This window comes from Homo sapiens, chromosome 4, assembly GCF_000001405.40.
Source record: "Homo sapiens chromosome 4, GRCh38.p14 Primary Assembly".
Classification (NCBI taxonomy): Eukaryota; Metazoa; Chordata; class Mammalia; order Primates; family Hominidae; genus Homo; species Homo sapiens.
The window spans coordinates 140653842-140670124 of NC_000004.12; the positions used below are offsets into that span (position 1 = coordinate 140653842).

Sequence of the window (16283 nt, forward strand, 5' to 3'; positions counted from 1 at the left end):
CTTTGTCCTGTGATAGGATGTCTGGCAGCCTGAGGGCCACCATTAGGGATCAGCCCAAGAAGACGTAAATGGAAATCAGCTGTTGGCCTTGTCTCAATTTCTTTGCTTTCGCTTTAAAAATGGGCAAAATGCTGACTTCAGCATGAAGCTAGCTTATCTGCTGTTGAGAAAAAAGCTGAGTTGCCACATACTAAGCTTTAATACTGTTAGGAATAACGCTCAAAACCCTAAGGAAATTGAACACTTGAACAAAAGATTCTTAGCAAAGCAATTTTACTTCTGCACAGAGGGGTGCCTCCTTGGCCAGTTGCCATGAGAGCACACCTGAACAAAGGGCATGAGAGCCTTTATTCCTGACACCAAGTCCTGCCCCTGTACCCTTTCCCCATTGTCTGGGGTCGGGTTGTACAATCTAATCCCGGTTGGCTAAACATTTGATTTTTTTAGATAGGGTGGGTAAGTAAAAGAAAGTAGAGAGAAAGGGGAAGGGGGTGTCTGTAATGAGCTAGAAAGTTAGTCCTCTTTCCAAATAAGGAAAGGAATGTGAGCTGGTACTGATAATGCTTGGTACTGAGGCATGCCTAGGCATCTAACAAAAGAAAAAAGAAAAAAGGAGAAAAAGAAGAAAGGGGTGGGGGGGGGTACTACGAATTAAAGAATAAAAGATTGATCAGATTATTTGAAGAGAAACCCCATTATATCCCACAAAACCTTGGTCCAGAATTCTTTTAACAATAAAGGTCTGAGGATTCCTTTAGAAAAGCAACCCACAGATAGAAAAGCTCTTGCTTACATCATACAGTACTATTCCAAAGTCCTGGGGCGATGACTTTTTTAAATGCATATGGAAATAGTTTTGGAGACAGTAAGGTGAAACATTCATTCTTTATCTCCAATAGTGGAAACATAAATTGAGACATCCTTCATGGAAATTAGACAGTGTGTGCCAATAGCTTGATCATTCTTTTTTTTTTAATCTAATTTTTTTAATCCAAACTTTTAATGTAAATTCATTTCTAGGATTCTAAGACAATAATCAGAGATGTGATATTTGGGTACAAGTTTATCTTAGAATGCTATATAATACTGAAAATTTGGAAGAAATCGAAGTAAATGTCTAACAAAAGGGAACTAGGTAAATAAATTTTGTTACCTCATTAAAGCAGAATACAATTTAGTAAAATCATGCCTTCATATAATATTTAATATATTAGGGAATGCTCATGGTATACATAGAAAATGACAGAGCAAGTATTTAGAAGGACTTTTTTTTAAAGTGTATGTTGTAAGTATAAAAACATACTTAAGGGAAATGTAAAACGCTTATAGGATACAGTTTATTTTTTTCTTCCTATTTCCCTACAATTTCTAAAATGAACATGTATTGCTTTTATGATTCTAAAACAAAGTATTTTGCTTTCAATATATATGGAGTTTCAATGAAGATTTTAAAAAATAATTACCAGTCTTTCTCTTATTATGAGTTAAGGACACACATTTCTGAAAAGATTTCTATATCCATAGCAATTTTTTTTAAAAGCACTAAATTTTTTACTTTAAGAGAGACTTTCTGATCTCACTCCATTCCTCACTATTTGTCTCTTATCCACTTTGTTGCTAGCTGGAATATGACAATCACCAATCAAAATCACAAAACACCTGTAGAGAGCATAGTGCGCTCAGCAGAATACTCAGGCTTTCTCAGTGATCATTTCTATAAAAGTTTAGAGAATCAAGGATCAGGAAATGAAGAAACCATCAAGTGTTATGAGCACTTGGGGCCCCACAAACCACCAGGTGTTAAGGGGGAAAGTGGCACTGTGGTTCCTTCACCCCAAAAAGCGTATTAGTTCTGTTGTGAGATAGAGCGGCAGATCAGGCTGATTCCAGGGTCATCATGGACAAGAAAGCATCCTCCCCCATCCAAGCCAAGCAATTTTAGAGGAATCCTAGGACTCTGGTCTACTCTGGGCTATACAGGCTATACTAAGTGTCTCAGACTATCTACTTCAAAGAAGCCCTAAGTACTTAGCATGGGAACAGAAAGCAAATTGATTTGTGAAGGTCAGCCTCCCCATCCCTACTCTCAACAGCCCCTACTTAATCTACAAAGAGTTCAATCTGAGCTGCTACTAGATCAGGCTTCAGGATGTGAATGGTAAAGCACTGGAGAGCCACAGCTTGTCTTGCCATGTGCTACTATGGTATTAGACCCATTAAGACATCCAGGCTCCATTCAATGTCCATCTCTGGAGGCCAAAGCTGTCAGCTAGCACAGAACTACTTACTTCTGGCCAGTAGTTCTCACTGTAGAAGGAATGTAGAAGTAGTTCTCAATGTAGAAGGAAGCAGGTAAGCCTATAGTCTCAATGTTTTTATTCCCTCTAAAACTCATGTTGAAAATTAATCCCCATCACAACAGTGTTGGAAAGTGGGGTCTAATAGGAGGTATTTAGTGTGGAGTCCTAATTAGGGAAAAGGAGTCGGGCTGGCAAGACCCAGGGAAAGCAAAATAAATAAATATATAAATAAATAATCAAAACAGATAAGCTATAAGTCTGCCCTTTTTCATGATCCAGAACACATAGGTCTCCTGTGCAAATAACTCATAATCTTCCTGCGCCCAGCTATCACCAGACCCTGGGCTGACAGAAAAATGCAAGTTAGCTCACTACAACCTCAGCGTTACCAGTACTGCACAAAGCCCTCTCCAGCACACAGCACAAGAACCATCCTATAAAATCCCCAGCAAGGCTTTGTCTCTTTGCAGTTAACTCCTCTCTTGCTAACTTGCCCATTGCATCCTTGCAATGTACTTTCATGCTTTCCTTAATAAATCTGCTTTTCTTTACTTACAACTGTCTTGGTAAATTCTTCCTACTACCCTCCTGATACCAGCCTCAGATAGTTGCCAATCACCTGCAACATTTAGGTCATGAAGACTCTGCCTTCACAAATGGATTAATGGCACTATAAAAAGGTCTTATGAGCATGGGTTCTCTCTCTTCTGCCAGTGAAGACATGGTATTTCTCCCCTCCGGAGGACACTGCATGCAAGGTGCCATCTTGGAAGCAGAAAGGCCAGGACCTAACCTGCCAATGCCTTGATTTGGGGCGTCCCAAAGTCTAGAACTGAGAAATAAATATCTGTTCTTTGCCCAGTCTGTGGTATTCTGTTATAGCAGCACAAAACAGGCAGCAGTGGAAGTGTCGAATGCATGGTTAAGCCCTGCTCAGCCAGGAGACAAGACCTACCTCGTAGGAAGTTCTGATGAGTCTAAAGATGTCTACCTCAGGGTAAGGTTCCACATCATCGCTGAGCAAGGAGTGGAGGTGAGGAATGGGAGGCAGTGTGCTGTCTTTATTGGTCACACTGTCTAAATACCTGGAAGAAGAATGCATCAGAAGTCACAGGAGAAGAAACTGGAATCCTCCCATTATAATTCTCCAATCATTTTCTGCAAGTTCTACATTTTAAAACAAAGGACTAGAGTTTCTTTAAAGATGGAAAGAGAGAAAGAAATTCTGTTAATTTCTAAAGAAAAAGCATATGAAAATAAATCCTCAGCCACAGGAAGAAGCGGGCATTATGATCACCATCAAATCAGTTAAGACTCATGAAATGAAGAGAAAGCATGAGGAAGAAAACCGGAGATGGTTTTCAAAGTTAGGCTTAGTACAATACCTTCCCAAAACGGTCATGGCCTCCCCATCATCCTTGCAGTTCAACAGTTTGTCCACATTTGCATCCAGCACAGCTAGGGCCAACTGGAATATCACTTTAATTCCTTCATAGAAGAAACAGTCAACAACCACAACTGCACTCTCAAAAGGCATCACACTGAGAAATAGTGTGAGGAACCAAGACAGGGAGATGGTGGAAATCACGCCCAGGTCTTGCATGCAGTCGTACAGCTGTGGGACGTAGTCTCGTGCTAGCTCCTCAAAGACACCTTGGTCCACCAGTGCACCTGTGGCAGCGATGTATACAAAAAGGCGCAGCTTAGCCAACTACACAGTGTAACTAAAGAATCCATTCAAACAACTTGACTGCTAGCACAGGACTCTGTTCCTTTCTGCTGACTGTTCTGCTGTGACTGTTACTAGACCAAGGTGTCAACACAGCTCAGTCACCAGATTAGTTCTGGCTGCATCTTCTCTTTCTGGGCTCTTCCTGTCCTGTTTTCCCTTCCAAAAAAGAACAATCACATGACAATTATAAGGGTTGTTGAGAAAGCCAGTTTATAAGGTTTTCGTGACATACAATTAGTTATTTTGTTGGCAACATAATGTTTGGTTTGGTATGAGATGTACATCCAAGTACAGTCATGCCTCACTTAACAATGGAGACATGAGAAATGGGTTGTCATGTAAATCTGTCATGTGAACATCTTTGAGAGTACTCACACAAACCTAGACAGTAGAGCCTTACTACACACCTAGGCTATATGGTATAGCCTATTGCTCCTAGGCTCCAAACCTGTATAGCATGTTACTGTACTAAATACTGTAGGCAACTATAACATAATGGTAAACAGTTGTGTATCAAAACATAGAAATGATACAGTAAATATACAGTATTATAATCTAATGGGACATCTGTTGTATATGCAGTCCTTCCTCAGCCAGAACATCAACACATGACTACAGTTCCAAATGTACATTTAAGCAGCTTAGCTGGCAAACTCTTATTAATTAAAAAAAATAATAATAATCCCAGCACTTTGGGAGGCTGAGGCAGGCGGATCACCTGAGGTCAGGAGTTTGAGACCAGCCTGGCTAACATGGTGAAACCCTATCTCTACTGAAAATACAAAAATTAGCCAGGCATGGTGGTGGGAGTCTGTATAGTCCCAGCTACTCAAAGACTGAGGCAGGAGAATCACTTGAACCTGGGAGGCGGAGGTTGTAGTGAGCCAAATTCACGCCACTGTACTCCAACCTGGGCGACAGAGCGAGATGGTCTTAAAAAAAAAAAAAAATCACACTTCTGGATGCATGGTGCCCACAGATTAATCATTTTTTAAAACAATTACTTTTTAAAAAAACTTAAAAGCATTCCTGTTGTACACATTCATGATCAACGTAAGGACATTTTTGACAATATTTTCAATAATCAAATTCATGTGCAAATGTTTAGAAATATAGAAAGAACACAAGTGAGAAGCATAAACAATATACTGTACAACCCAAGCAATGAAAAGCTTGTCCTGCTAAAATGAATCACTGATATTTGAGAGAATTACAAGGAGTAACAGCAATAATTTAAATCCTCAAAACAGGTGTTTGCTTTGCAATAAAACCAGTCCTGAAAAATACCTTAGAAACCTAGCTTTCAATAAACCTCTATATTCTATTTTTTCCACCCCAGATAGCCTTTTTTTGGCAACACCTCTGTATTTCGTAGGTTCCCATCCTCTTTATTAATTTTTTTTATCAAATCTCTTTGTGTTAATGGTGCACATACCTGGTGTAGCTCTCACATGTCAGAGTGACACACACACATGAAATATTTTCTAAAATAATTTCTGGAGCAGGCGTATGTGTATAGTCCCTTAAACTCCACGGGGCTCCTTTGTATACAACCTATATTTATTCAACCTCTCTCATTTCCATTTTGAAAAACTGGAGTAGTCTGAAACTCTTTTGGCTTATGGTGACCAGAAATAGTGTTCTGGCTGGCACCTCTCTAAAAGCATCTTCTTGACGAGACATAGGTTGAAATGTTAAATGCATCTCCACTTACCCACAACTCTGGTGTTGTAGTAATCTGGGAGCATGCGCTCACACAAAGCCACAAGCAGCCAGAAAGCTTCCTCCTCTTTGGCATAAAGCAGCAGCACTGAAGTGACAATATTCATGGCCTAAAAAAGTGAAAGAGGATGTCATCAAATACAGTTGAAAATATAAGCAATTCTGTTAGCATATTAAAATTACTCAGTTATTCTCACAAGGGCTGGCAAACCTTTTCTGTGAAAAGCGAGATAAATATGTTTAGGCTTTGGAGGCTTTACACATAGTCTCTGTCATATATTCTTCTGAGTTTTGTTTTATGACCCTGTAAAAACATAAAAACCTGAGTCCTTGAACCAGTAAGTGTGCAGGGTCTTCCTTAACACCAATATTCACCAGACAGAGCCCCGAACTCATGCTGGCAAACCCCTATTCCAAAAATTTGCCCAAAGGCTATTTCACAAAGCTTTTAACCTGCTAAAATCTCTCAGTGTTCTTAATCCTTAATTCAGTGAGGTAAACATTTCCTTTGTAACTTTCCGTAATGGTTTCTATAATCAGGTACACATGGCTCCAGGCTCTCCTGAGAGAACAACGAAACCTTTCAGACTTGGAGTCCTCACCCAACATTTCCATACGGAGAGAGATGGTAGTGATAACTGAGAGTGATTTAAATTCTAAAGTAACTGTAGTTTATTAAAAGATATTATCAGATACCTCATAACCACTCTAGACTCAACTACTTTAATAGTCTTCTTAATTAAAAAGAGGAAGATCAAAAGGTAAATATGAACTTTATCATATTAGAGGCCAACTACCTCCTGTACTTCTTTTGATCTCCCAGAAACCGGTAACTGTTCATCAGGCTTCTACAATTCAATTTCAAAAAAGGTATTTTGGTTTAATAGGCTCTTTCTTGTAAGTCTTACTCATTATGTTCCCAAGTGACATCATCATGGAAATTCCACTTGAGAATTAACCTGCTGATCCTAGTACATGATGATGGTCCCTGCCAGTTCCTTAGTCATTTAGCGGAGATAGGTTTTTTTAGGGGTCTACCTTGTAACAGGCTCTGGACTAGGTATTGGAGGATGGGGGACAGAGTGGTGATATCTTGCAGGTCCTAAATGCTAGTGTTAGATAAAACAAAGATGAAAAGGTTAACTAGTCTATGTGGGGGGTTATTTAAATTGGAAGTTATAAAGAGGTAAAATAATGCAGTAGAGGGAGACTAACGTGTGCATGTACGTGCACTTGTGTGTTGAAGTAGGAGTTCAGCCTCTTTTAGCTTTTGCTGGATGGTCAGGGAAGGCCTCTACAATGATATAGCCTTTGATTCTTTCTTTTTTTTTTAATTTGAGACGGAGTCTTGCTCTGTCGCCCAGGCTGGAGTGCAGTGGTATGATCTCAGCTCATTGCAAGCTCCACCTCCCGGGTTCAGGCCATTCTCCTGCCTCAGCCTCCCGAGTAGCTGGGACTACAGGCACCTGCCACCACGCCTGGCTAATTTTTTGTATTTTTAGTAGAGACGGTGTTTCACCGTGTTAGCCAGGATGGTCTCGATCTCCTGACCTCGTGATCCTCCGGCCTTGGCTTACCAAAGTGTTGGGATTACGGGCGTGAGCCACCGCACCTGGCCGATATAGCCTTTGATTCTAAGGTCACGTTATTTTGGAGCTTCCCAAATTTTGGCATCTATACCAGTACAAGAGATGACTTTTGTTGGTATGTAGGCAACTTTTCTTAATACTAAGTTAAGCACTTATTTTAATGTGTATTAAGACATAACCCTAGCATATAAAAGCTCTATTCAAGGACATTATTACTTAAGAGGATGCAAAGTAGCAACACTGTGGCGAACCACAGTGACAGGCCTGGTGCTGAGGATGCCCTCTCTTACTCCAGGGTGGGATGAAGGTTGAGGCAGACAGTGATCAGAAGGATCTTCTCCAGGTCACCTAGCTAGACAGTGGTGAATCCAGGAAGGTCTCCTCCATTCAGTGCAGTGGTTCTCAACCCAGGATGATTCTGCCTCTCAGACATCTGGCAATATCTAGAGACATTTTTGGTTGTTACAACTGGGGATTTTCTACCAGCATCTAGTGGTAGGGGCCAGGGATGTTACTAAACATTCTACAAAGCATAGAACAGCCCATACAACAAAGAGTTAACAGTCCAGAGTGTCAACAGTGCCAAGGTTGAGAGGCCCTGGTAAAGTGATAGTTCTGTTAACCATAAACCTTCCTTCCCACTATTTGCTGCCAAATGAATAGAAATTTTATTTTATTTTTTTAGCAAAAACCACCTGTGACATTTACCTGGCAATACCCTATGTTGGGATTTCGAAAAGCATAAGCTGTTAAGACTCTCCTTAGTGCAGCAATGCCCATTTCATTCTGAAAAGCTGGGTGTTCTGGAAGGGAGCGGTGTAAATCCCTCTCAATCTCCTCCGTGGCGAGATTATACTTCCCCATGGACTTCTCCACTAGGTCTTCATAGTACCCAGGATGTGTGGCCTTCTCATTGATGGCACCTGAGATATATCCAACAGATACAGTATCAAAAACGTGAGAGCTCTGCCTTTTGGTTTGCAACTACAGCTTATGATTGAACTGCTTTACTTTCCTACCTCTCAAAGGAAACTTGCAAGAGAAGGTGAAATCACAGATGTGGTATGTTGCAATCGTGGCTAGACTGGTGAATTTGCCTGTGGCCTCCTTCCCTCTTTCAGCTCCATAGTAGGCTGGCTACTTAAAAACTTTCCTAAGGTAGAGGTTCCCAAGCTACAAAACCATGCTCTGAGGAACTCCCACAGACAGTCCTGAAGGGCTGCTTAGGAGCACAGGTGGGGAGGTCATCATAACAAGCCAGGCTGAGGCTTCACCTTCTCATCACTCTCTTCAACCCCAGCAGCTTTGCTTTTATTTTATTGTGGTTTCATTAAGATTTCACTTGAAATAGGAGGTTCTGTCTCTCAAAATAAGTCTGAAAACTGCCTGCTAACGTGTTAGCTCTGAAGGGTTTAATAGCCATATTGAGGGAGATACTTGGAGTTTTTCAAATTGCAGAGTGGTAAGAGTATTCCTAACAGTGGTGAGTCATCATTGTTGACAGAAGTTCCTCAGGTGTTGGGGATGGGGATGGAGGGTTATACTGAGAATCATCCATTTGAGATACTTACAGTTTAGGATTCTTCAAGACAGAAAAACCCTATATGCAAGTATCTACCTCTCAATCTAAATTTTAATTACATTCCTGTTGGGAAGACTGAATATTCACATGCAGAAGAATGAAAATGAACTCTTTTTTTATACCATGTACCAAAATTAATGCAAAATGGATTAAATTAAATTTCAATTCCTGAAACCATAAAACTAGTAGAAGAAAATATAGAAAGAAAATGCTTCTTGACACTGATATGGCAATTATTTTCTGGATGTGACACCAATAGCACGGGCAGCAAAAGCAAAAATCAGACAAGTGGGATAGCATCAAACTAAAAAGCTCTGCACAGCAAAGGAAGCAATCAAAAAGCAACTTAATGGAAGAAAATATCTGCAAACCATATGTCTGATAAGGGGTCAATATACAAAATATATAATGAACTCACAGAACTCAATAGCCTAAACCAAACAACCTGATTTTAAAATGGGCAAAGGAAATGAATAGACAGTTCTCAAAAGAAGGTATACAAATCACCAACAGGTGTATTTAAAGGTGCTCAACATCACTAATCATCAGGGAAATGCAAATCAAAACTACAATGAAATACCACCTCATACCTGTCAGAATGGCTATGATAAAAAAGACAAAAGATAACAAGTGTCAGCAAGGATGTGGAGAAAAGGGAACCCTTGTACACTGTTGGTGGGAATGTAAATTGCTACAGCCATTACAGAAAACAGTATAGAGATTCCTTAAACTAAAAATAGAGCCACCTTATGATCCAGTAATCCCACTCTAAGCATATATCCAAAAGAAGTGAAATCAGTATCCTGAAGAAATATCTGCATCCTATGTTTATTGCAGCATTTTCACAATAGCCAAGATATAGAAACAATCTAAATACCCATTAAGAGATGAATGGATAAAGAAAATGGGGCATATATACAAAATGGGATACTATATTCAGCCTATAAGAGGGGAAGTCCTATCATTTTTGATAACATGGTTGAACCCAGAAGACATTATGCTAAGTGAAATAAGCCAGGCACAGAAAGACAAGTAATACATGTTCTCAGTTGTATGTGGAATCTAATATAGTCAAACTCATAGAAACAGAGTCTAGAATGGTGATTACCAGGAGCTAAGGAAGGGGAAAAATGGAGAGATGTTGGTCAAAGGGTATAGAGCTTCAGTTATAAGAAATGAAAATGTTCTGAAGATCTAATGTAATACTGTATTGTATACTTGAAATTTGCTAAGAGGGTAGATCTTAAGTGTTCTCTCACCAAACTCTCCCCACCAAAAAAAAAAAAAAAACAAGAAAAAAAGACAAAAAGAAAAAATCATGGGAACAATGTGAGGTAATAGATATGGTAAACTAGCTCAATTATAGTAATCATTTCACAATGTATATGAAATCATCAAATTAATACACCTTAAATATATATACTTTTTATTTGTCAATTATACCTCAACAACGCATGAATGAGTTCATGAAGGCTGCAGGATACAAAAAAGAATAAAATATTTCGGAATAAATATAACAAAACACATGTAAGAGTTGCACACTGCAAGCTACAAAATATTGCTAAAAGAAATTGACAAAGACTTAAATAAAAGACATCCTGTGTTTATGGGTTGGAAGACTTAATGTTGTTAAGATAGAAAAACTCCCAAACTGATCTACAGATTCAACACAATACCTATCAAAATCCCATCTGTCCTTTTTGCAAAAATTGGCTAGCTGGTCCTAAAATTCATATGCAACTTCAAGAGACTCAAAAAAGGACAAGAAAATTGGAGGACTCACACTTCCCAATTTTAAAACTTACTGCAAAGCTACAGTAAGCAAGACAGTGTAGTACTGGCATAAAGATAGACATACAGATCAATGGACTAGATTTAAGAGTCCAGAAATAAATCCTAACATTTAAGGTCTATTAATTTTTAACAAGGGTGCTAAGACAATTCACTGGGGGAAAGAATAGTATTTTCAACAAATGGTGCTGGGACAACTAGATATCCATACGGAAAAGAATGAATTAGACAGTCACCTGCATCTCACACCACATAAAAAATTAACTCAAGGCCGGGTGCAGTGGCTCACGCCTGTAATCTCAACACTTTGACAGGCCAAGGTGGGTGTATCACGAGGTCAGGAGTTTGAGACCAGCCTGATGAACATGGTGAAACCCCGTGTCTACTGAAAATACAAAAATTAGCCAGGCGTGGTGGTGCACACCTGTAATCCCAGCTACTCAGGAGGCTGAGGCAGAAGAATCGCTTGAACCCAGGAGGTGGAGGTTTCAGTGAGCCAAGATTATGCCATTGCACTCCAGCCTGGGTGACAGGGTGAGACTCAGTCTCCAGAAAAAAAAAAAAAAAAAAATTAACTCAAAATGACCTAACTATAAGAGCTAAAACTACAAACTCTTAGAAGAAAGCATAGTAGTGTAAATCTTCATGTCATGAGAGCAGAGTGACAAAGGAAAAAATAGACAAATTGTATTTCATTAAAATTAAATTTTTTTGTGCTTCGAAGGATACCATCAAAGACAGTGAAAAGACAATGCACAGAATGGGAGCATTTTTAGGAAAAATCTGATAATGAACTTGTATCTCAAATATGTTTAAAAACTTTTACAACTCAATAACTAAAAGATAACCCAATTAAGAGCAGGCAAAGGATCTGAGTACATATTTCTACAAAGAAGATATAGAAGTGGTCAGTAAGTGCATGAAAAAATGTTCAACATCATTATCCTTCAGGAGAATGCAAATCAAAATAATGTTTAACCTTTAAAAGGTTAAACATAGAGTTACCATACGAACCAGAAATTCCACTTCATTCATACATTCAAGAGAAATAGAAGCAGGTGTCCATAAAAAAACCTGTATTTAAAAAAATTTTAAACTTTTGAATTTTCTAAATTTTAAATCTATATTTTATTTTCTGAGAGAGGGTCTTGCTGAGTCACCCAAGCTGAGGTGCAGAGGTCTGATCACAGCTCATTGCAGCCTCAACCTCCCAGACTCAAGCAATCCTCCCATCTCAGATTCTTGAGTAGCTGGGACTACATGTGCGTGCCACCACACCCAGCTAGTTAAAAAAAAAATTTTTTTTTGTAGAGATGGGGTCTCACTATGTTGCCTGGGTTGGTGTCAAACTCCTGGGCTCAAGTGATCCTCCCTCCTTGGCCTCCCAAAGTGCTGGGATTACAAGCATGAGCCACTGTGCCCAGCCCACACAAAAACATGTAGATGAACATTCATAGCAGCATTATTCATAGGAACCAAAAAGTAGAAACAACCTAAATGTTTATCAACTGAAAAACGAATGAACAGAGTATAGTATGTCCATACAATGATATAATATTTGGCCATAAAAAGGAATGAAATGCTGATACATGCTATGATATGGTGGAACCTTGAACACAGTATGCTATGTGAAAGAAGCCAGTCACAAAAACCTACATATTGTATGCTTCCATTTATACAAAATGTCTAGCAACAGAAAGTAGTCTGGTGGTTGCCTGGGGCTGGGAGGGGGCTTGAGGGGAATGGAACTACCAGTCTGTATTTCCAAACAGTTTATATTTATTTTCCTTTTTTTTGAGACAGAATCTTGCTCTTTCGCCCAGGCCGGAGTGCAGTGGCGCTATCTCGGCTCACTGCAAGCTCCGCCTCCCGGGTTCACGCCATTCTCCTGCCTCAGCCTCCCGAGTAGCTGGGACTACAGGCGCCCGCCACCGCGCCCATCTAATTTTTTGTATTTTTTTTAGTAGAGACAGGGTTTCACCTTGTTAGCCAGGATGGTCTCGATCTCCTGACCTCGTGATCCGCCCACCTCGGCCTCCCAAAGTGCTGGGATTACAGGCGTGAGCCACCGCGCCCAGCCTATATCTATTTTCCAAATGGATAAAAGGTATGGGGTGTTTTGGGGGGATGAAAAATGTTCTATAATTGTGATCATTGCACAATTCTGTGAATATACTAAAAAAAAAAAACCACTGAATTGTACACCTTAACTAGTAAGTTGTGAATTATATCTCAATAAAGATATCACAAAAAATATATAAATGATATATATATTGACAGGGTAAACACTCAACATTTCATAATTCAGAAAAGTGGAGCCCCAAGACCCCTGGACTGGCCAAGGCCTTGTCTCTGATGGTCACTGAGAGAGCTGGCCTCACCACTCACGCTGGCCCTGGAAAAGCCAACCCAGCTGACAGGGACATAACGCTGGCTTTTGCTCTGTTGATGTGGGAGACGTACTGTGATTTCTTGTCATCTGACCTGCATTTCATTTCAGCGGGTACAGAGTTCAGGTCATGATGCCGTCACCCTAAGGGTCACAGGAAGCAGGTGAGACCCAAGTTGGGCTCTGGCCTGGAGCTGTGCTCTCTTCATGATAGGCTGGCCTTCAGGCGAACCCCATTCCTGGATGTGGAAATACGGGCTCAGTTATCACCCCAACAGAGGGCCGTGTGGAGACCACCCTGCGGTCTCACATGGTCCATCTGCCGTTAAAGGAAACACTGGGTCTAACTCTCAACATTATCTCTGAGATAGGGCTGTGTACTATTGTTGTATACACTAGTTTCCTGGTACTCGTTTTGAGTTTCATTTTCACTTAAAATGCAGCTATAAATAACTTCTAATTTGAACAAGGAGGATGAAAATGGAAATCTGTTTACTCTGTCAGTGATCTGAATCTGGTTGTCAAGGTGACTAGTTCACTAAACACAGGGAAGACAAGAAAAGACTGGATGGTAATGATCTTCTTGGGTTTGAATTATAATTAGAGATGAGTTGACTCAAATTTAGGTTTCTAAATGAGGAGCTATGGCTGGTCCACTTAGGGAAAATGAGGCCAGGCACAGTGGCTCATGACTATCATCCCAGCACCTGGGAGGCTGAGGTAGGAGGATTGATTGAGCCTACAAGTTTGAGACCACCCTGGGCAACACAGCAAGACACCTATCTCTACAAAAAGAAAGAAGGAAAGAAAAATGAAAAATAAGACATGTATTAAATAAATATAGAACAAACTAGTTTTACATGAAATAGACAAAACCAATTATTTTTCAGGATTATACGTCCCTATTTCTGAGACATTTATACATCTCATTATGGGCATTACATCTACTTTTACAAAGAGCTATAGGTTTTTTTAAAGGCTTTCCTGTGAGTCGTAATTATTAATTTTAGTATCACTTTTTAAGAATAAAAGCTTTTAATAATAGCATTTGTGTCAGACCATCTTAGGTTCAAATAAAAATATTCACATAAGCCTATTTAGAATGATAATATTTCAGGCTTCAATCCAGATAGAGCAACTAATTTACATGTGAAAGTAAAGTTGGTGAAACTAAGGAGTGCTCTGATGTCTGAGATATTAGAGATCCCTGGGATACACTCAGTGCTTTCGGATGGGAGGAAGCAGTGTGAGCTTAGCCTGAAGGATCTCTGGTTTCTGTAGCAGGGCTCAAAGATCTGATGTGACAGAATGATGGACAGGCACAAGAGCCAGGTCTGTGGACCAGTAAAGATGGATGCCTCTTCACCACTGGTCCATGGAAGTGTCCCCTTCTGTCCTTCCTGGCATCTCTGGCTTGAAGTACAAGGTATGATCTGAGTAAGCTTTTATTTCCAGTGCAGACTCTGGCCTCATCTTTATGGTTCCAATGATGACCAAAGACTTCAGGAGGTGGCAAAAATCAAACACCTGGGCCTTTTTATTCCTCTTATTTCTTTCCTCCCAATTCCCCACCCGATGACTGCTCTGAGGAAGTGTCACACTTAAACATTCTCAATGAAGTTGACGTAGCTGGGCAAGGAAAAAAGAACTACTGAAGTCACAAAGTATTCTGTTCTTTTACTTCAGGTTCTCTTTTATTCCTAAATAGCCTGACTGAAGAAATGGAAGTATTTATAAAGACTCGAAGGATGGTGGATTCAACATTTGGTCCGCTTCCTATGGGTCCTATAGTTTTACAAAGGGAACAATAATTGAGGAACTTCAATACTCTGGTGAGGAAACATGATGTAGCTTTCAACTGGGGGATGCATATTTGAAAGAACCCCTGAGGCATGACTGAAGGCACAGGGAGGCCCTGGTGTGGAGTCCCACAGACTTTGACGCCAGCATTCCCAGCCCAGCGGCCGTACCTGACAGCAGCAGCCAGAGCTCCCCACGCATGCTCTCCGGGATGCCCTTCAACACCAGCTCCCGCGTTTTCTCTGTGCGGTACATGCAGATCCCTTGCCCATACTCAGCAAAGTGAATCTTCCAGGCTTGCTCTTTCAGAAACTCTTTGGCCTGAAAGGGATAATGAAACATTATGACATCCAAAGTACCCTGAGGATGGTAAGAGAAGAGTGATGGAAGGTCAGAACATGTTCCCTGCTGAACGGAGTGACAATTCCAGAAAGAAGTCATGAGAAAAAGGAACTCAGATTTTCTGGAGTTCTTCTCTAGTTTTATACATCTATCATGGCCTACAGCTCTGCCATGAAGCTTTTGGGCCCAGAGTCAGAATCCTACTTACCTGAGATTGTATTTATGGTTTTATGTCTGCACCCCCAAGTGAAAGTAAGTTAATGATGTTTAAATATGGGCTGAGAAATCGGGTATTTATTTGTTGGTTTAACTTAAGCAAGAGTTAAAAACAAAACAAGACCAAAAGAAGTCACCTGTACCCTCTATAACTCATCTCCTTCCATGAAGCCACTGTGAAAGTTATAACATATTTAGACAAAAATCTGCTTAACTTATAGGAAAATCTCCATTTACATAGGCATGTGTGAATTTACTTACAGTAAAAAATATTGTTAATGGCATTGTTCAAATCTACAAAGTTTCAGGGAAAAGTGAGAGGCACCCACCAATTTCGGGTTGAACTCCTCGGGAGACCGCCGCCGATACATGGTCATCAGGGTCTGTGTGGCTGTGGGGACGCTGTTGCCATTTAGGTTAAACTGGCGCTCTCCATCAGCATCAGAGCTCGTGCTTCTCTGGGGGCTGGAGGAGACGAGGCTGCTGGGTCGAGAGTACACCTGTCAATACAGAGAGGAACAAGACATTGGGAGGACACGGGCAATAGAACCTACTTCTTCAGTGTCTTCTGTATGGTTATCAAAAGCTACATCATTTTTTTCCCATGGTGTTTCTTGCTATGTGAAGAAACACGAGAAAAGCAGCAAGCCATCATTTTGGCAGGGATTAGACAGGTGGCTGGGTCCCAGGCCGCAGCACTTCAATGCTCACAATAGGTTTCTGAATCTTCATGTTTTATATGTATATTTGCAACAAAGTGCTTGGCCATTTGTTTCTCTGATTTGCATGTATGCAAAGCATGTCATGGTTGAATCAGCAG

General features: G+C 40.3%; 1 protein-coding gene across 1 annotated transcript in view; it reads right to left on the minus strand.

Moving 5' to 3' along the window:
• TBC1D9 (TBC1 domain family member 9) overlaps nucleotides 1-16283 on the minus strand; it is a 135604-nt gene that overhangs the window by 33060 nt on the left and 86261 nt on the right. Inside the window, exons 8-13 of the mRNA NM_015130.3 lie at nucleotides 15793-15963; nucleotides 15076-15226; nucleotides 8052-8266; nucleotides 5747-5864; nucleotides 3686-3971; nucleotides 3256-3385 (exon numbers count right to left, since the gene is read on the minus strand). Coding sequence (NP_055945.2) covers nucleotides 3256-3385; nucleotides 3686-3971; nucleotides 5747-5864; nucleotides 8052-8266; nucleotides 15076-15226; nucleotides 15793-15963 — 1071 coding nt within the window. The remainder of the gene's footprint in view (nucleotides 1-3255; nucleotides 3386-3685; nucleotides 3972-5746; nucleotides 5865-8051; nucleotides 8267-15075; nucleotides 15227-15792; nucleotides 15964-16283) is intronic.